We start from the raw sequence: 18,743 nt of genomic DNA, 5'->3' as shown, positions 1-18,743 counted from the left end.
AGCTTGGATGGGGAAGACTTCAAGGGCAGGTGAAGATGCCAACAGCTTCCTGCCTGGAGGACCGAAGAAGGGTTGGGCTTCACTGCAGACCTCCAGGAGACAGATTTGCTTGTTGGGACAGAGTAGGGAGGTGAAAGCGAGGTGAGGAAGTTCGGGGGTGGGGGAGGTGCACACAGCTCCACTAAAGAGCTGGAAGAGGCCGATGGAGTATTCATGAGACGGCTGATCCAGGAAGGACTGTGGCATATTAATATGGAAAAGGCCTGTTTGTTTGTGCTTGGAGAGGAAGGAGCCAGAGGAGAGGGGAGCAAGGTGGGCGGGAGCTGGGGAGAGCCTGCAGCAAGATCTGCAGAGCCCGAGGTGCTCTCGGCCTGGGCCCTGGAGAGGACGTAGGGTAAGTGATGGGGCACAGGCTGTGCGTCAGGGGGAAGGTGCTGGGGCCTGAAGGTCCCGAGGGGAACCTCAGACGGCCTTATGCCTTCTCACAAAGAAACTGGACCATCATCTCCGACCCGCACCCCGGTCGCCCCTCGAGGACAGAGGGTGGGCGCAGGAGGCTGGACCGAGCGGGGCGGAGCTGGATGCCTGGCGCCGGCCTCCCTCCCGGCAACCCCGCCGGTCCTCTCAGGTGACAGCTCACGCCGGCCCCCGCCCCGCCCCCCGCATATTCAGGAGCCCCAGCCCACCCTGCCCGCGAACAGCCAGCGCTGGAGGAGCGCCGGGAGACTCTGCCGTCGGTGCGTGCGCGGACACGCACCCGTCCCCCTTGGTCTCGCCGCCAGCCATGGCCGCCGCTACGGCCTCCCCCCGCAGCCTCCTTGTTCTCCTCCAGGTGGTAGTGCTCGCTCTGGCGCAGATTGTAAGTTTCGCAGCCCCTCCGCTGCCAGGGTCCAGGGTGCGGGGTCTGGAGTCCGGGATGGAGGAGCTCTGCCTGTGTCCCGCGCCTACTGACACCCCTAGCCCGAGAGGCCACCTGAGGACAGCGCCGCGGGCAGGTCCCCTCGGTGGGTGCATACATGGTGCCCATCGCGGCACCGTGAATGGAGGTGGCTGAGCCGGAGAGTCAAACGGGACCCGTCCCCAGACGCGCGGCCCGGCCCGGGACAGGCAGCGTGGGGCAGGAGCTGGCGCCCGGTCCTGGCAGCCCGGGGAGCCCAGGTGGCGGGGCATACAATGGTGCTCATTCACCCGCTGCGCAGCCTCCGCCCCCGCCGCCTCCCAGGGGGCGCCGGCTCCAACCAGACGCCGCTGTCGCCCCGAGGCGGCCTCTCGGCCCTGCCCGCCTACCCACGTCTCCCTTCCGAGGGCCGCCGGGGGCTGCGGGCGCGCGGGTAGGGCAGAGACTGGGCCCGGTCGGGTGCTGGGTGTGGTTTCGAGCTCGCCTGCGGGGCGCCAGCCTGGCACTTCGCGGCCTGGGGAGGTCGTGGGCACCGGGACCCCTGCCTGGGTCCGAGCTGGCCTCTTAAAAGGGCCGCCTTTTAAGATCTCTGATCTGTTCAGAGATGGGCAGCAGGATGGAGACTCTCCAGCTGTGAGCTCGCCTCATCTTGATATGACTTGTGACCTCCCTGAAACCTCACACCCACCCAGGGGCATTGAATTGCAGGCAAACGGGATCCAGAGAGAGGGTCTGCTTTCTGGGAGGTGCCGGCTCCTCCTGCTCCCCTGCAGCAGTCAGGGCTTAGCAGAGGGAGGACCGGGCAGCTGTGCTGCCGAAGGGGCGCTCCGAGTGGGAAGATAGTACCCGCTTCACCTCCCTACACCTCCTTTCTCTGCGCCTCCCCCACTTTCCCGTCGGGTTTTCCCGCACCATGGGGAGAGGAGGAGGCGCTGTCTCTGCCTGTCGTTCACGTAAGAACAACAACCCGAGCCACCGCTCACTGAGGGCCGGCAGCCTGCTAGGCACAACCTTACATTCCATCTGTGATTTATTTGAGCTGTCCACGTCTCCATCTATTCCCCACCGCGACCGCGCAAGGGCAAACTGGCACAGTGGAAGGAGTCGGGCAGATCCAGGGCGGACTCCTGGCGCCGCCGCCCACTCTCAGTGACCATGGACCCTTCACGTTCTGAGCCAGTTTCTTCGACTGCAAACTGGGGCCCGTAATAGCGCCCGCCTCCCGGTTCTGAGTATTCTGTAAGATAATGAATGCATGTAATGGCACACAGTGCCTGCTATACAGAAGATTCTCAATACGTGGGAGTTCGCGGAAGAGCTGCGCCCCTAGGACCCCGCTCCCAGGGTCGCTTGCAGCCCCGGGGACGCCCAGCTTCCTGCACTGTCTGAGGACTGCCCCACCCCGTGTGTGTTTTTCAGAGAGGTCCACCGGGAGAGCGGGGCCCCCCGGGTCCCCCGGGACCGCCGGGAGTGCCTGGATCCGACGGCATCGACGTAAGTCTCTAACCTGAGACCAGGGCGGGAGGGAGGCGGCAGACAAAGGAGAACTTTGTGAGCGCTGTGGTGGGGGTGGGGACTTCGGGGTGCCCGGAGATGTAGTGCCCCTCGTCGCCAATAGGCGGCGCCGGCCCGCACCACAAGGACGCCGTTTGTTCTGCAAAAACCTCAAACCAGCCCTGACATGCGGAGCCCGTTATAGCCGCCGACAGACAAGGAGCTGCTGTTCAGTCCGCCGGCCGCAGCTCACAGCGAGGCCTCATCCCCCTCCTCTCCTTTCCCCTCCTTGTGGGGTAGGAGGCGACTCAACCCCTCACCCTGCCTCTGGCACATCTGGACGCTTCTTCAGGTTCGCTTGGGAGCCTTGGCCAGACCACCGACCAGCTTGGGCCAGACTCCTGTCTCTTCCCTTCGGTTTTCTCTCCCCGATTTAGAATCAGCTGGGCTTGTTCCCTGCAGGGTGAGGGTTAAATACCTCATTCTGAAAGCTCCCGCAGGAGGGCCGCTTGATGTTTACCAGTCTGGACAGACTTCTATTCAACCTGGTGCCCCCACCCCCCAAACACAGGATGCTGGGCCCCCGGCCAGGCCCTGGCTGCTGAGGGCTCTGAAATGCCTGGAGGCCTCTCTGGGGCTGAATCGCACTCTACCGGCCCTGCCTGCCCACCACCAAGGGTCCTTTGGCACTGGAAGGAGGTCCTTCCCTCCTTGGGAACACTGAATTTCCCCCTTGCAGTCCCCCTTGGTCCTTGCCACTGGCTCAGCTTCCCGTTCTCCTGCCCTGCAGTCTGGAATAGAGCTGCTGCCCAACTCGCTCATCCCCCTTCACGTTTCTCTAAAAGCCCCAACCTTCCTCCCACACGTGCCCAAATCCAAGAGGCATCAGCTTGGAGCCCCCAGCCCTGGTAGTGGGTCTCACAGCTGGCACCTCATGACATCAGCATGTCTGTACCTTCTTGCATGTTGCTGTCACCCTCTCCAGCCCGGCCAGGGTTATTCTCATGCTCCTGTGATTTGTTTTTGGTTTTTATTTTTGAGGAAAAGGGGGCTCTTTTCCCAAAGATTGCAAGGCTTAGGGGACCTGGACAGAAGAGAGGAGAGTGAGGAGAGCCTTTGGGAGCGGCCTGCCAGGGCCTGTGTGTGCCCACTTGGGGTAGTGTGAGCCGTAGTGTGCTGTCTCACCAACTTGTATCTTGCAGGGTGACAATGGGCCCCCTGGAAAAGCTGGCCCTCCGGTGAGTGCTTTATCCTCTTTGGCCTTTGACCCTTCCTGCTCTTGCCCTCCTCTGGCTCATGTTTGTTCCATCTCTGTTTTCAAGGGACCCAAGGGCGAGCCTGGCAAAGCTGGGCCAGATGGGCCAGACGGGAAGCCCGGGATTGATGTGAGTAGCTGAGTGTCGGGTGGGGCAGGGTAGGGCTCTGCCAATTGACCTCCAGGGCCTGGCTCTGGCATCTTCACTGATCTGTTCAGAGATGGGCAGCAGGATGGAGATTCTCCAGCTGTGAGCCCCCCTCACCTTGATATGACTTGTGACCTTCCTGGAACCTCACTCTCACCCAGGGTCATTGATTTGCAGGCAACCGGGGTCCAGAGAGAGGGTCTGCTTTCTGGGAGGTGCAGGTTCCTCCTGCTACCCCTCAGCAGTCAGGACTTAGTCTCACATTTCTGGCCTCCAAGGATCAGGCTGAATATGTTGGGTGGGGCTGTCCTTGTGTGCCCTGTCCTTTCCTCCGCTCTTCCCCTGACCCCTACCCACAGCCCCAGGCATGACTCAGGAGAGAAACATCATTTAGCTGATACCACAGAGCTCCCAGGGGGCCCCCAAGGTCACAGGCTCTTGAACACAGCCAGCCCCAGGGGCATGAGGACAACATCTGATGGGGGTTACACTGGGTCAGTCACTGAAAGATGGGAGAAAGGAGAAACCCCCATGACTTGCCTCTGCCCTGCTGGCTCATGAGGTGTGACCAGGGCTGGGACAGTCACCAGGACCCCTTCAAACTCATCCACACCCTGCAACGATTACAAGGCATATTGCCTTCTATGTTGCATCAGTTCTCACATCCACCCAGAGAGGCACCCAGATGAGAAACTAAGGCTCAGAAAAAGTTGCCAATGGCCTGGCGTGGTGGCTTATGCCTGTAATCCCAGCACTTTGGGAGGCCGAGGTGGGCAGATTACTTGAGGTCAGGAGCTCAAGACCAGCCTGGCCAACATGGCGAAACCCCATCTCTACTAAAAATACAAAAATTACCCAAGCGTGGTGGCGCATGCCCCTGGTCCTAGCTACTTGGGAGGCTGGGGCACAAGAATCATTTGAACCCAGGAAGCGGGGGTTGCAGTGAGCTGAGACTGTGCCACTGCACTCCAGCCTGAGCAACAGAGTGAGACTGTGTCTCAATTGAAAAAAAAAAGAAAGAAAAAGAAAAGAGAAAGGAAAGAAAAGAAAAGAAAATGAAAAAGTTGTCAAGGTAGGACATCAAGCAAATGACCAATCTTGACCCATGGCTAGGTCTTCTAGACTCCTGAACCCGGAGGCATGAAGCCTGGGTCTGGCATAAAGCCAAATCTTTGGGCTTTGGTTTCTCATCTTTCAAAAGAAGGGAATTGTTCTGCCTGCCTCCTAGGGTTACTATGGGAACTGGGGAAAAGGAAAGAAAGGTGTGGAGGTTCCTAGGCCTTCATGAGGTGTGGCAAAAAGGAGCCTCGGCCCACCCAGGAGGGACCCTTGAACCTGCCCTGCTCTGTGGGTCAGGGAGCAGGTTGGCCCTCATTGATCCTACATTTTCATTCTTCCCCAGGGTTTAACTGGAGCCAAGGGGGAGCCTGGCCCCATGGGGATCCCTGGAGTCAAGGTAAGGGGCCTGCTGGGGCCTCAGCGTGGGCAATCTAGGGCCAGCGTTTGGGAGTGGCTGTAGAGAGGAAGTAGGAGCCGGGGAAACCCCAGCCTCTGAGCCTTTCTCGTTGCTTCTGCAGGGCCAGCCCGGGCTTCCTGGTCCTCCTGGCCTTCCGGTGAGTACAACCTGCAAGGGCTTCGAGGGACTCTTGGGGGAGAGGGGACCTGCAGAGGGAGCCATGAAGCCAATTTTCTTTCTTTCTGTTCCAGGGCCCTGGTTTTGCTGGACCTCCTGTAAGTCCTCAGGGATGGGGCAGGATCCCCAGAACTCCCAGGGAAGGAGGGGACAACAGAAAGGCTTCGAGGGAATGGCCACCATGGGAAGGAGCCAGCTTGCTGTGATAGTGTCAGGAATAAGTGGACCTGCCAGAGACCCAGGGCCAGCCCACTCTGGGCCTGTCCACTGGCTCTGCAATTCTCTGGTCCTTAAAGCCTCAGTCTGTCAGTCTCTCTGGGGTTGGCAAAAAAAAAAAAAAAGTAAAAGTGGAGAAACGGGCTTTGGGTGCCTGTCTCTACCTTTGTGCCCAGGGTATCTGACCCTCTGAGGCATCCTGACCATCAACTCTCTGCTCCCCAGGGGCCTCCTGGACCTGTTGGCCTCCCTGGTGAGATTGGAATCCGAGGCCCCAAGGTGAGCCTCAGCCACCCTCTGTTCACTGCCTCCTGCCTTCTATCTCCAAGCTGGCAAGCTGGGTGGTCTTTCTGGAAGTTCCTGGGCCTGCTCCTGGCCACTGGGAAACTCCTCCAGGTCTGGGGCAGAAACCCCTCCTATGAGCCCACCCGGCACTAGGTCTTTTAGGGACGCCGCTGGCCCCATCCCCTGTCAATCAGGCCTTCATCTCCCAAGATGGTGGATCTCACAAAGTGACCGGGAAGACAGGGTGGAGAGGGCAGAGGCAGGACCTGGAGGAGGGCACTAGGGTAAGCTGGTAAGGGCTGGTCAGGGGTATGATTTGGGCTTCTTTTGCTTCCAGGGGGACCCTGGACCAGATGGACCATCGGGGCCCCCAGGACCCCCTGGGAAACCTGTAAGTGTCCCCAGACCCCCGACATGGCAAAGTGCAGGGGAAGGAGAAGGGTCTTTGAGCAAGCCTGCGGCGGGAAAGGGTCAGGCCAAGCTCCATCTTCATGTCTCCTCTCAGGGTCGCCCGGGAACCATCCAGGGTCTGGAAGGCAGTGCGGATTTCCTGGTGAGAGACGAGGTCTGGGGCGGGGCTAACACAGGGGGGCGGGGCCACAGAGATGGGGAGGCGGGGCCACGGAGATGGGGGTGTCTGGAGAGATGGGGAGGGGCTGCAGTGCAGGGGTTCCACCAGGTGAGGCGGAGGAGAGCACGGGGCTTGGAGAGATGGGGGCGCACTGCCCAGCTGATCACAGGACCCTGTGGGATTTTCTGTTTCCAGTGTCCAACCAACTGTCCACCCGGAATGAAAGGTCCCCCAGGGCTGCAGGGAGTGAAGGTGAGAGCTCCTGGCCTGAATCTTGGGAGGGTGGTGCAGGTGACAGGAGGGGACCTCGTATTGAGCTCTCTCCTTCCCTTCAGGGGCATGCGGGCAAACGCGGGATTCTGGGTGATCCTGGCCACCAGGGGAAGCCGGTGAGTGCAAGGGCTGAGGGCTGTGGGTCAGGGATACGTGGAGATGGTCCTACAGGGCTCTGTCCCCTTCTTCGTCCCTTCCCCTTCCCCTGTGGGTTCTGGGGACAGAGCCTTGAGCCGGGGGCTGGAGGCCTGTGCTCCAGGTCGGCATGTCTCTGGTCATGTCTCCTTGCTTGGCTTTTCTCTATCTGTAACACAGGACTGTAGGGTTCGTAGTAGTCCCTCCCGTCTGCTTGTGCTGGGGAAAAGAGGTGGTATCTTTGCTTGTCTGTATATGTGTCTTTCCATCTGCCTGCCTGTCTGACAGCTCATCCCTGCCCTTTAGGGTCCCAAGGGAGATGTGGGTGCCTCTGGAGAGCAAGGCATCCCTGGACCACCGGTAAGGAACACCTTGCCTCAGTGGCCCTCTTCTCCCTCACCCCAGGAGCCCTTCATGGAGTCATTCCCCTGCTCAGGCCTCTAGCTTGTAAAAGAGACACCTGTGTCTAGCTGGGAGCATCTCTGGATGGGGAGATGGAGGCTGAAATTGTCAGGAATGAGGGACAGGAACCAAAGCTGTCAGCAAGAAGCCCAGGCTGAGGTCCAGGTCTGCCACTGTCCCTTTGAGTAATGCAGTGAGTCCCTCCTCATCTCTGAACCTCCATGTCCCATCCATGAGACAGAGACTCTGCTGCCTACCTCAAAAGGGCACTGTAAGATTGAAGGTGGGCATCAGACAAGGTATCATGAAGTGGGCCTTGCAATTGCCATTGCTGTCATTTTTCTTTCTCAACAGGGTCCCCAGGGCATCAGGGGCTACCCAGGCATGGCAGGGCCCAAGGGAGAGACGGTAAGTGAATCTTGGGGTGTTCTACAAGAGCTTCCAGGAGCTGCCTTCTGGCCCCTGGAGTTCAGCCAGGACTGACCTGCAACCCTTTCCTCTCCCCAGGGCCCTCATGGATATAAAGGCATGGTGGGCGCTATCGGTGCCACTGGGCCACCGGTAAGCCTCTTTTTGCTCCCCTACCCCTGAGGCTGGAGCTCCTACAGCTACAGCCACAGAGTGGGCATGGCTCCCCCTGAGCCTGTGTGACCTGGATTCCTGCTTGTCTTTCTTGCCAGGGTGAGGAAGGTCCTAGGGGACCGCCAGGCCGAGCTGGGGAGAAGGGTGACGAGGTGAGTCCTCAGGCACCCATTGTTCAGTCAGGACCCCTGGGGAGTACTGGGCAGGACAAGGCACCCCCTAAGGCTGTGTGTGTGAGAGTGCATGAGTGTGTGCGTGAGTGTGAATGTGTAGTGTGTGTGAGTGTGTAGTGTGTGTGTGTGTAGACTGTGTGTATATGAGTGTATGTGTACAGTGTGTATGTGTGAGGCTGTCTGTGAGTGTGTGTAGTATGTGTATGTGAGTGTGTGAGGATATCTCTGAGTGTGTGTGTGTGACTGTGAGTGTATGTATGTGTGTGTGAGTGAGTGTGTGTGTGTCTGCCCAAGTGGGTGACCTGCTGGGGAGGACCATCTGTGCCAAGAGCCCAGTCAGCCCAAATTCAGACTTTAGGCGAAGCCCTGGGATCCAGTCCCATGGTCACTGGGGCCAGACAATGAGATTCCAGCAAATCAGCCATGGGGCTAATGGGATTTGGTCTCGATCCCAGTTCTCTTAACTCTTTTTTTTTTTTTTTCCCAATTAATAGACCTGTTGGGGGAAGCGGTTTTAAGTTTACAGAAAAATGGAGCAGAAAACACAGTTAACTGTTATTATTATTTAGTTTTTTAAATTATTTTCTTTTCTTTTTAAAAATTAAAAAATTCTTATACTTTTATTTTTCTATTAGACAGCAGAGATCATCTAGTTGTTTTGTTTTGTTTTGTTTTTGAGATGGAGTTTTATTCTTGTTGCCCAGGCTGGAGTGCATGGTGCGATCTCGGCTCACTGCAACCTCCGCCTCCCTGGTTCAAGAGATTCTCTTGCCTCAGCCACCCAAGTGGCTGGGATTACAGGCATGCGCCACCATGCTCAGCTAATTTTGTATTTTTAGTAGAGACAGGGTTTCACCATGTTAGGCTGGTCTCGAACTCCTGACCTCAGGTGATCCACCTGCCTCGGCCTCCCAAAGTGCTGGGATTACAGGTGTGAGCCAACACGCCCAGCAATATCTAGTTTTTTAATGCAATTTTTTAACTATACAGAAAACCAGTGAGAGTGATATAAAGAATCCCCATGTACCTATCACAGGTTCCAATTCAGTTATTAACATTTTGTCAGTCTTGTGTCCTCTATCCCCCAGACCCCTCCTTCCTTTGATTTTGTTATTGCTTTGCTCTGATGTTTTCAAGTAAATCCTTAACATCCTATCATCTCAGCCCTAGATACTTTTGTACATATCTCTAAACAATAAGCACTCATTCTCACATAATCACATTATCACAACTGACAAAATAAACAAGTACTCCCTAACATCATCTAATGGCCAGTCTCTGTTCAGTTTTTCCCAATTATCTCAAAAATGTCTTTTCCTGGTTCTTGTTCAAATCAAGACTCACACAGCATCCACACACTGCATTCGGTTGTTGTGTTCCTTTGGCTGAGTGGATTGTGGGGCCTTGGCCAAGGTCTCAGTGGATTCTGGCTCCCACCCCTGCTCTGGCTCAGCCCAGCCTGGCCTCCTGGCACTGACTTCTCCTCCCTCCTGCTGGTGCCAGGGCAGGAAGGGTACTCCCAAGGCTCTCTCCTCCGGCCCCTGCATGGTGTGGCCTGTGCCAGAGGAACTCTGGGACCTAGAGGCCACTGTTCTCAGTGGTTCCCCTCTCTGCACAGCCAGACAGGGGCCCAACATCCTGAGGGTGACCTGATCTCTCTCCGCTTTGCAGGGCAGCCCAGGTATTCGTGGACCCCAGGGGATCACAGGCCCGAAAGGAGCAACGGTAGGTGCCAGAGGCCTAGGCCCACCAGGACAGAGGCCAGGGCCCAGCTGCTTTGTCCAAACCCCCAGAAGAGAAGCCTGGGATGCTAGTCTGAACTCTGCAACTGGTGGGCTGGCTCCATAACCTCAGGAAATGCCTCCCTTTCTGTGCCTCAGTTTCTTCACCTGTAAACAGGGGTGATGACATACGGGAGGTCATGGGGAGCTTGCAGCAGTCGGGGACACCACCCTCCACACTAGGGAAGGACTGTGTTCCGTGACCCTCATCCCCTTCCCACTTCAACTCCCCTCCCCCAGTTGGCCAGTGGGGCTTCCTGGGATGACCAGAGCCACTCCCTCCCTGCACACTGCAGCTGTCTCAGAGGAACAGGGGTGGGTGGCCAGACCCCAGACATCTCCGCATTATCACTCTCCCTTGAACTTTCCTCCTGGGTAGGGCCCCCCAGGCATCAACGGCAAGGATGGGACCCCAGGCACGCCTGGCATGAAGGTAGGAGTGGGGCTGCTGATGGGACTGGGGCAGGGGCAGGACCTTGAGTCCTGGATTCTAGACACCAAGAGCCTGGGGTCCTCAGGTCATGGACATGCCCTTTCTTGCCTCTGGATCTCAGTTTCCCTACCTGCATCTGGGTAGAAGCCATGGCCCTCTGGCTGGAGCTTTAATTTGTATCTTTGGTTATCTGTCTATCCCAGGGCAGTGCAGGACAGGCGGGACAGCCCGGAAGTCCAGGCCACCAGGGCCTAGCGGTAAGTGTCAGGTGGAGCCACAGGGGCTGGCCAGGGGCTAGTGGCTGATGAGGTTAGAATCCACACACACCCGGGGCTCTTGCTCAATCACCACCTCTTGCCTTGTTACCAACTCTGTGGCCCCTGGCCTGGCGAAGGCTTCATTACTTGGACAATTACTCTAGCCTTCTCTTTGGCCATTCCAGTCCTCCATGTTGGCTAAATGGGATCTGACCATTTCTGCACTATAGCACCTTCCATGGCTCCCCACCGCCTCCAGGAAAAAGTCATTCAGTCCAGTCCTTCAATAAGTAGTTATTGAGGTCGGGTGCAGTGGCTCATGCCTATAATCCCAGCACTTCAGGAGGCTCAGCTGAGTGGATCACTTGAGGTCAGGAGTTCAAAACCAGCCTGGCCAATGTGGTGACACCCCGTCTCTACTAAAAATACAAAAATTAGCTGGGCGTGGCGGCTCATGCCTGTAATCTCAGCTACTCAGGAGGCTGAGGCAGGAGAATTGCTTGAGCCCAGGAGGCGGAGGTTGCACTGAGCCAAGATTACACCACTGCACTCCAGCCTGGGTAACAGAGCAAGACTCCATCTCAAAAAAAAAAAAAAAAAATAGTTATTGAGTATCTGAGGTATACTAAGTGGCAGGTAAACAATTATAAATAGGACAGATGCAATCTTTGTCTTCATGGCTCATCTTACCATTCAATGACCACCATAATCTGACCCCAACCTGCCCCTCCTGCCATATCAGCAATGGCCCCTCTCTGTCCTTTCCCTTCTCAACAGGCCTTGGCTTTTCTGCCTCCACACCTTTAGGCCTTTGCTGGTCCCTCTGTTTGAAATGCCCTTTCTGGTCTCTTTGTGCCTTCTTATCGTTCAGGGCCATCTCCATTCCATACCTCCTGGAGTCCAGTCCATGGGAGCCTGCCCTCCCTCCCTGTGGGGGTACTGAGTGGCCAAACCTGTTTCTGTGCACACATGCAGACTTGTGTTCCTGCGTGCACTCACATGGGCTCAGGCACCTGAGAGCACATATCCATCTCTTCCACGTAGACCCCAGGTCCTGGAAGACAGGCCATTCTCTGTGCCCCACTCCTCTGCCACCACTGTGGGAATGTACAGTTAAGTTCATCATGCCGTGGCTGGACCTTCTGTTGTTCAGCTCCCACAGGTGGGGGAAATCTGGATTGGGGATGGGAAGCAAAGCAGCAGGTGCATGGGGCTCCCTCATGCCAGGGCAGAAACTGACTTCAACTTCTTTCTGCAGGGTGTGCCAGGCCAGCCTGGGACAAAAGGAGGCCCTGGAGACCAGGTGAGGCGATCCCAAGCTGGGGACAGAATTGAGCAAGGAAGTCTGGGGCCAGGAAGACAGCAAGGCCCAGGCCTCAGCCAAGTCTCAGAGGCTCAGCCAGAACATAAGCCCCTTGGGCCTAACCACCTCCCTCCTGCCACCTCCCACCCATCATGCACTCCTCAGCCTGCCTCAGTGCAGATAGGATGGCATGGCTTAAAATCCAGAGGAGAAACAAACAGGAAAATCAGGAGCCAAGAGGATTGAACCAAGAATACCCTCTCCCCCGTCCCAGCTCATCTGGTTCCAGGCTCTGTTTAGGCTTCGTTGGGTTTCCCTGAGGCCAAGGGCCTGACTGGGCCACCCAGACTGACCTGAGAACTGTTTTCCTGCAGGGTGAGCCGGGCCCGCAGGGCCTTCCTGGATTCTCTGGTCCCCCTGGGAAAGAGGTAAATGCCCCCTGCACTGACACAAGGGTTCCTGCTTTAGGGTGAGGCCATGGGGTGGAGCCCTAACCTAGGGAGAGCTCCGAGTTAGTCTGGCTCTGCCCTGACCCAATGATTCAGGGAAGCTCTTTCTCCTCCCTGGGCCTGTTTCCCTATGTACATTGCAGGGAGGGTGGGGACTGGCTCTGTTCTGGAGTGTGACTTTCCTAGATGGCCAAGTTGATGGGCTGGGAATCCAACAGGCAGAGTTGTTCGTTCATTTATTCATTGCATAAACATTCACTAAACACTTGCAACTATGAGTCTCCTCTTCATATGGAGGGTATAGTTTAATGGAAGAAATAGACATGAAATAAATGATCACGCCGGGCGCGGTGGCTCACGCCTGTAATCCCAGCATTTTGGGAGGCTGAGGCGGGTGGATCACGAGGTCAGGAGATCCAGACCGCGGTGAAACCCCGTCTCTACTAAAAATACAAAAAATTAGCCTGGGGCGGTGGCAGGCACCTGTAGTCCCAGCTACTCTGGAGGCTGAGGCAGGAGAATGGCATGAACCCGGGAGGCGGAGCTTGCAGTGAGCGGAGATCGCGCCACTGCATTCCAGCCTGGGTGACAGAGCAAGACTCCCTCTCAAAAAAAAAAAAAAAAAAAAAAAAGAAAGAAAGAAATGATCACATGATAAGTAATTCAAATTGTGTTGGGTCCTTTGAAAGAAAACTACAGGGACCCAAAACCATGGAACAGGTGGTCTGGGAAACCTTCCCTGATGAAGCAAATTAGCTGAGACCCAGGGTAGGGAGGGGCTGGCCAGGTGTGGAAGGGTGGGTTCCACCAGGTCAAACGCTTAGCCCCAATTTCTCCTTCCTCCAGGGAGAGCCAGGGCCTCGAGGAGAAATTGGTCCCCAGGGCATCATGGGACAGAAGGTAAGTGCCTGGCACAATGGCCCCTCCCCGGGGGCCTCTGCGGCAGCTGGCACTGCTGGATACAGCATCTGCTCCGTGCAGCCCGTGAGATGCCTCCCCAGGCAGGGCCTAGGTTTGCTTTGCTGGTCTGCCAAGTGGAGAAAGGACCCCCTGCCAGTGACAGCAGGAATGGAGGGCACCCTGACCATGCGGTGCCAGGCCTCGGTGCGGGAGGCTACCCCTGCTGAGAGCTGCTGAGGTTGTGACCTTCTCTTTCCATTTCAGGGTGACCAAGGCGAGAGGGGTCCAGTGGGGCAACCAGGCCCTCAGGGAAGGCAGGTGAGTGCAGGCCAGCTAAGGTGGGCAGGGCGTCATATCCAGGCCCCTCATTCCATTTATTCCTTTGGTTTCTTTTCTCCTCAGGGCCCTAAGGGGGAGCAGGGCCCCCCCGGAATTCCAGGGCCCCAAGGCTTGCCAGGCGTCAAAGGAGACAAGGTGCCAGATGGGGCTGGGAAACACCTGGGAAAGGGGCCCTATAACAGGGGGAGTGGGGTCGGCAGGACTCAGATCCTTCCGGAGCCTCCAAACCTGCGGATCTCAGGGTTCTGGTCTGGTCGGCGAGGCGGAGTTGGAAAGAGGGGTGTGGCCGAAAGTTAGGTGGGGGACCCCGTGGAGGGGGGAGCTCGCCAAACCCCTCACTGCCCGCTTTCTCCAGGGCTCCCCAGGGAAGACCGGGCCCCGCGGCAAAGTGGTGAGTTCCAGCACCCCTGTTCCCAGCGACCCCCAACCCTGCTCTGCGTCCCCGCCGCCACCGCGCGTCTGACCCGTGGTTCTCTCTGCAGGGTGACCCAGGGGTGGCCGGCCTCCCCGGAGAGAAAGGCGAGAAGGTGAGCGCGCGGCCTAGGGAAGGGCGGGGAGCGGCGGCTGGCCCCGGGGTCCCCGCGGCTTCGTGACCGCTGCTCCTTGTGCCTGCAGGGCGAGTCCGGCGAGCCGGGGCCCAAGGGACAGGTGAGTCCTCCCCTCCCGGCGTTCTCCGACTTTCCTGGGCGGCCACTCCCTTCCTCGACCCCCACCCCCCACTCTCGCCCACCCGGGCGCCTTCTCACCCGGCTCTGCTCCCACCCCCATCCCCCCGCAGCAAGGAGTACGTGGAGAACCCGGCTACCCTGGCCCCAGCGGGGATGCGGGCGCCCCAGGGGTTCAGGGCTACCCTGGTCCCCCCGGCCCTCGAGGACTGGCCGGGAACCGAGGCGTGCCAGGACAGCCCGGGAGACAGGGCGTGGAGGTGAGTCGGGCCCCGGGGTAGGAGGTGCTTCTTCTAGGTAGATCTGTTCTGGGGTGCGGCTTACCCGCCAAAGGCTAGGGATTCCCAGAGACTCACCGACTTCCCCGAGACTGGTTCCAAGCCCCAGAGCAGACAGGAAGGCTGTGAGTGCAGCCTGAGGGATTACCCCGCGACCTTCCCAAGTAAGCCCTTGGCCCTGCCCAGGTACAATCTGTTCCTCAGCTTGGGAATTAATGACTCAACACCAGAGTCTCCTCCATGGCGGCCTCACGCTCAGCCAGGTGGGATAGGAGCGGTGGGCCCTTGTAGCCAGGGGCTTCTTCCTGAAAGGCCTCTGCTTTCAGGGCCGGGATGCCACTGACCAGCACATCGTGGATGTGGCGCTGAAGATGCTGCAAGGTGAGGGGCAGCAACCCCTCCTCACAGTCAGTTCGAGGGCATCGCCGCCCCCTCACCCCCTCCCGGAGCCTCCACGTGTTCACTTGTCTGAAAATCTGGAGTCCTGGGGGCTCCTTCCAGTCCAGTCTCTGAAGGGTTTTGGGACCTTGAATAAGTCACTCTGGGCCTTTGACTTCCGCAAAACAGAGCCCACGGAAGGTGGTGCTTTTCTGTCTGCAAACCTAGGGGCCAGGGCCCATCGGAATGCTCTGCCTCCCCTAGTGTTACTGCTGACACCCATCTCATAGACTTCCCTCTCCCTCCCTCCCTCCCTCCCTCCAGAGCAACTGGCAGAGGTCGCCGTGAGTGCCAAGCGGGAAGCCCTGGGTGCGGTGGGCATGATGGGTCCTCCAGGACCTCCTGGGCCCCCTGGGTACCCAGGCAAGCAGGGCCCCCATGGGCACCCTGGCCCTCGGGGCGTTCCTGGCATCGTGGGAGCCGTGGGTCAGATCGGCAACACGGGGCCCAAGGGTGAGTGCTCCTCTGCGGTGGGCATGGGGGCCAGGCAGTGAGGATTTGTCCAGGCCGGCCCTTTCCCCATTCCCTTCTCAGGATGACATACAGACCCTTCCCCGGTTCCTCAGCCACATGGTCCAGGAGACACTCCTGGGCTCTTTCCTAGTAGCAAACGGATGGCAATGAATGTACTATGTTATCACTCGGGGTTTCTGGGGTTTGTTTTTGAATGTGCTTAGTGGTACCCCATAAGCATCTTTCCATGTCAATAGAGATGGGGCGGCAGACCAGCAGAGCAGTAAAGCAGGCAGGCTGGAGCCACACACGGGTGTGAATCCAGACTCCCCTTTCTCATCGTGGCTCTCAGACGAGTTACCTGCTAATTTCCCTGGGCCTTAGGTTTACTATCTGTAAAATGGGGACACTGAAAGTACCAACCTCATCATGTGGCAGTGAGGACTATCCTTAGAGTAGTTTACATAGAGTTTGTCTTAGTTCACTGAGACACAGTAAATGCTAGATATTGTTATGCTTGCTTTCCTGTAATAAACTTTATTGGTTACATAATCTTCCATCCTTTGTCTGCACCTTCCTTTATTTAACAAGCCCTGCGTGACCATTTCCAACTTTCCTCTATTACAAACTAGCACAAAACAGGAATAATTTCTTTGCGTGAAACATAGCAAAAAATAGAGGAAAAGCATTTTCCAATTCTGAAAAATGAAGATTTCCTTTTTTGTCTACAGGAAAACGTGGAGAGAAGGGTGATCCAGGAGAAGTGGGACGGGGGCACCCCGGGATGCCTGGGCCCCCAGGGATCCCAGGTAAGCCATTGGCCCTGCCCAGCTGCAGTGTGTTCCTCAGCTTGGGAATTAATGACGTGTGGACACTGCGGTCTCCTCCATGGCGGCCTCACGCTCAGCCAGCTCAGTCCTTGATACCCAGCTTCTGCACCCCTTTGGAGCACCCCGGAGTCTCTGGGTGGTTCCAGCTCTGGAAGCTGGGCCTCTCAGGACTTCCCAGGATCCACCACCATCACTTCACAGAGGTGATGGAAGGGATGTTTGCTCCCAAAGCTCACTGATTGGGAGCTGGGGGTAGGGGACAATCACAGAATCTCTGCCTCTGGGGCAGAGTCCTTTCTCCTATGGTGTTTTGGCCTCATTTTCTCCATCTGAAAAGTTTCCCCACCTTCAAAATTCTGGGCCTGAGACAAGAGGTGCCCCTAATGTCTTGACTTTCTCCTGTTCACAGGACTCCCTGGCCGGCCTGGCCAGGCAATCAACGGCAAGGATGGAGATCGAGGGTCCCCAGGGGCTCCAGGAGAGGCAGGTCGACCTGGCCTGCCAGGCCCCGTGGGGCTGCCGGGCTTCTGTGAACCTGCCGCCTGCCTTGGAGCTTCGGCCTATGCCTCTGCCCGCCTTACAGAGCCTGGATCCATCAAGGGGCCTTGAGCATCAGGCCCAGACAGAGCCTGGCAGGCATCCTGGCGGGAAGGACCAGGTCCCCTCTGGGTGGACATGCACCCATCCCCAGTCCAGGAAACCATCTCCCCCAGGACCTTCTGTCTGGGACTCAGGAGTCCTAAGGAAAAGGAATTCTAAAACATGGGGGAAGGGGAGGTAGAGCACTGATGGGTGAAAAAGTGAGGCCAACACACAGGGCAAGTGGTGTCGATGGAGTCGAAGCGCTGAAGGAATAGGGCGGCTTTCCTTCCAGCGAGCATCATTCGGCTGTTACCAAAACAAACATCTTAATCTGCACCTTTCTCCACTGGCCATCTTGTCCTTGGGTCAGTGGGACATGGGCACCTCGGGAGGCCCGGGCCCTGCCCAGCTACAGTTCCACCCCTCAGCTTGAGGACCAATGACTGAGGTCTATGCCAGTTCCTGATCCCATCTCACTCTCTGGACCTACCAGGTGACTGCTGCTGGGTGACTCCCCTGAGGCGGCTATACCCTTAAGCCAGCCCCACTACTTCCTTCCCTGCCTCCCAGCTCAGTATTTAAACATCATCTCCCTTCTCTTTCTCGCATAACTCCCCACCCCTTTCTCCCCGATCCACCCAGGCCTTTCTGTAAATAAAAGCTCCCAAGTTGGGTACAAACCAGGATATTGGAGTTACTCTATCCTGGAGTTAACTAGGATAGAGGAGTTGTTGGGCTTCTCTTCTTGTGGATGGGGCAGTTGTTGCTGGGCCTCCATTGCCCAGGCAGGAAGGACAGAGGCTCTGGAGGGGGAGGGAAGGATGGGGCGTTTTCTCTGGGCACCTGAATTCTGAGCATTAGGATAGCATGGCAGTTTTGAGGAACATCTGTGGGAGGAACCTAGGAATGGAAGCAGGATGCTGACCTGCTGTGTAACTTTGGGTGAATCCCTTTTGAGCCTTTGTACAACTGTGGCAAGGACTCACCTGTATCTTGTTCATGCCAGTATAGCACACCCAGTGTCTCGCCGGGGTCTGCCACTTGGAAGGTCCTCTGTGAGTTTCAGCACCCACGGTGTGCTGGCCCTGGGGTAGGAGCTGGTAGTGAAAGATTGGAAGACCTTGTTCTTGCCTTCCAGGGGTTTCCAGGTTCATGAGAAAAACAGATATGGACTTGGATGAAAAAAGTCCGGGAGAGACTAGCTCAGATCTGATCTGTACCACCTGGGGGTTCCCAGCCCATAGCTCTGTAGGCCTTCAAGGAGGAAGAGGAGGGGAAGGGGGGGAAGGGGCTGAGGCTCGGGGACTCCAGCCTGAAGTCCAAGCATGTGCGGAAGCCTAGACCCTCCCACCTTACCACAAACTTGGCTCCAAGTCCCCTCTATGCTGACGCATCCTTGCCCTCCTCCTCCTCCCCACTGCCCTCCACTAGCCCATCCTCCCTCCTCCCTCCTCCCCTCAACACACATTTATCACTAGTGACATCTCAGCCCCCCCTACCCCAATCCAGGGACACAGGAGGGACACAGTGGGGTTAGACTGAGGGCCACTGATGTGGCTTCACCCTCAGTGCTTGGGCAATTCCCAAGTTACAGCATCTCAGTCCCCAGAGAAGGCCATGCTGCCACTGTAGCCGCCAAGGGCCCCCTGGAGTGCAGGGCACAGAGGAGGAAGGGAGAGGATGTGAGCTGCAGGAGGCAGCTGAAGCCAAGCCTTGGGCAGGCTCTCAGGTATTACATACCTGGTGGGGAGGAGGGTTCTCCCTTCCCTAGGCTGGATCCCTCACTTGCTCCTAGTGCCTGGAACCTTAGGTTTAGAGAGCCACTCTACTCCTTGAAGTCTCTTGATGCACCTTACCTGGGGCCCTTTCCTTATCCCTCTCTGCAGCATTCCCAGAGATGGTCCACTGGAGGGTTTCAGCACCACAGAGAGGCTGATGATTCACAAATCTCATGCAGTTACACCTCATTC

At 57.3% G+C, this 18,743-nt stretch overlaps 1 protein-coding gene across 6 annotated transcripts, besides 9 other annotated features; it reads left to right on the top strand.

The window, feature by feature from the left end:
- Window positions 565-1,201: an enhancer, noted in NCBI's record as "H3K4me1 hESC enhancer chr1:40782453-40783089 (GRCh37/hg19 assembly coordinates)". NCBI's record gives its function as "activates a minimal SCP1, AML or CMV promoter by ChIP-STARR-seq in primed H9 embryonic stem cells {active_cell/tissue: H9 hESC(primed)}" and the evidence as "EXISTENCE:reporter gene assay evidence [ECO:0000049][PMID:30033119]".
- Window positions 565-1,838: a biological region, named in NCBI's record as "H3K4me1 hESC enhancers GRCh37_chr1:40781816-40782452 and GRCh37_chr1:40782453-40783089".
- Window positions 696-17,493, top strand: COL9A2 (collagen type IX alpha 2 chain). 6 transcript variants are annotated; one of them, NM_001852.4, is made up of 32 exons: window positions 696-859; window positions 2,318-2,392; window positions 3,595-3,630; window positions 3,715-3,777; window positions 5,198-5,251; window positions 5,373-5,408; window positions 5,503-5,526; window positions 5,870-5,923; window positions 6,267-6,320; window positions 6,435-6,482; window positions 6,696-6,752; window positions 6,836-6,889; window positions 7,215-7,268; window positions 7,665-7,718; window positions 7,818-7,871; window positions 7,991-8,044; window positions 9,737-9,790; window positions 10,226-10,279; window positions 10,483-10,536; window positions 11,795-11,839; window positions 12,214-12,267; window positions 13,135-13,188; window positions 13,453-13,506; window positions 13,591-13,662; window positions 13,883-13,918; window positions 14,010-14,054; window positions 14,143-14,175; window positions 14,306-14,452; window positions 14,797-14,851; window positions 15,173-15,361; window positions 16,093-16,170; window positions 16,601-17,493. In NM_001852.4, exons 1-32 carry the CDS (start codon window positions 785-787, stop codon window positions 16,798-16,800), a joined length of 2,070 nt encoding a protein of 689 aa, NP_001843.1. In that variant the 5' UTR covers window positions 696-784; the 3' UTR covers window positions 16,801-17,493. The 6 variants fall into 6 exon arrangements, with proteins under 6 accessions (NP_001843.1, XP_016855821.1, XP_047302348.1 ...); XM_017000332.2 differs by having other exon boundaries at window positions 6,435-6,494; XM_011540715.3 differs by lacking the exon at window positions 696-859 and adding an exon at window positions 1,880-2,137 and having other exon boundaries at window positions 6,435-6,494.
- Window positions 1,012-1,521: a silencer, noted in NCBI's record as "silent region_725". NCBI's record gives its function as "represses an Ori minimal core promoter by ATAC-STARR-seq in GM12878 lymphoblastoid cells {active_cell/tissue: GM12878}" and the evidence as "EXISTENCE:reporter gene assay evidence [ECO:0000049][PMID:35858748]".
- Window positions 1,202-1,838: an enhancer, noted in NCBI's record as "H3K4me1 hESC enhancer chr1:40781816-40782452 (GRCh37/hg19 assembly coordinates)". NCBI's record gives its function as "activates a minimal SCP1, AML or CMV promoter by ChIP-STARR-seq in naive H9 embryonic stem cells {active_cell/tissue: H9 hESC(naive)}" and the evidence as "EXISTENCE:reporter gene assay evidence [ECO:0000049][PMID:30033119]".
- Window positions 2,282-2,381: a silencer, noted in NCBI's record as "silent region_724". NCBI's record gives its function as "represses an Ori minimal core promoter by ATAC-STARR-seq in GM12878 lymphoblastoid cells {active_cell/tissue: GM12878}" and the evidence as "EXISTENCE:reporter gene assay evidence [ECO:0000049][PMID:35858748]".
- Window positions 2,392-2,451: a silencer, noted in NCBI's record as "silent region_723". NCBI's record gives its function as "represses an Ori minimal core promoter by ATAC-STARR-seq in GM12878 lymphoblastoid cells {active_cell/tissue: GM12878}" and the evidence as "EXISTENCE:reporter gene assay evidence [ECO:0000049][PMID:35858748]".
- Window positions 2,622-2,881: an enhancer, noted in NCBI's record as "active region_842". NCBI's record gives its function as "activates an Ori minimal core promoter by ATAC-STARR-seq in GM12878 lymphoblastoid cells {active_cell/tissue: GM12878}" and the evidence as "EXISTENCE:reporter gene assay evidence [ECO:0000049][PMID:35858748]".
- Window positions 4,785-4,834: an enhancer, noted in NCBI's record as "active region_841". NCBI's record gives its function as "activates an Ori minimal core promoter by ATAC-STARR-seq in GM12878 lymphoblastoid cells {active_cell/tissue: GM12878}" and the evidence as "EXISTENCE:reporter gene assay evidence [ECO:0000049][PMID:35858748]".
- Window positions 5,395-5,444: an enhancer, noted in NCBI's record as "active region_840". NCBI's record gives its function as "activates an Ori minimal core promoter by ATAC-STARR-seq in GM12878 lymphoblastoid cells {active_cell/tissue: GM12878}" and the evidence as "EXISTENCE:reporter gene assay evidence [ECO:0000049][PMID:35858748]".

This window comes from Homo sapiens, chromosome 1 (genome assembly GCF_000001405.40).
Source record: "Homo sapiens chromosome 1, GRCh38.p14 Primary Assembly".
NCBI classification, from domain to species: domain Eukaryota; kingdom Metazoa; phylum Chordata; class Mammalia; order Primates; family Hominidae; genus Homo; species Homo sapiens.
The sequence above is the reverse complement of the archived record's forward strand: the minus strand, read 5'-3'. Positions and strand labels throughout refer to the sequence as shown.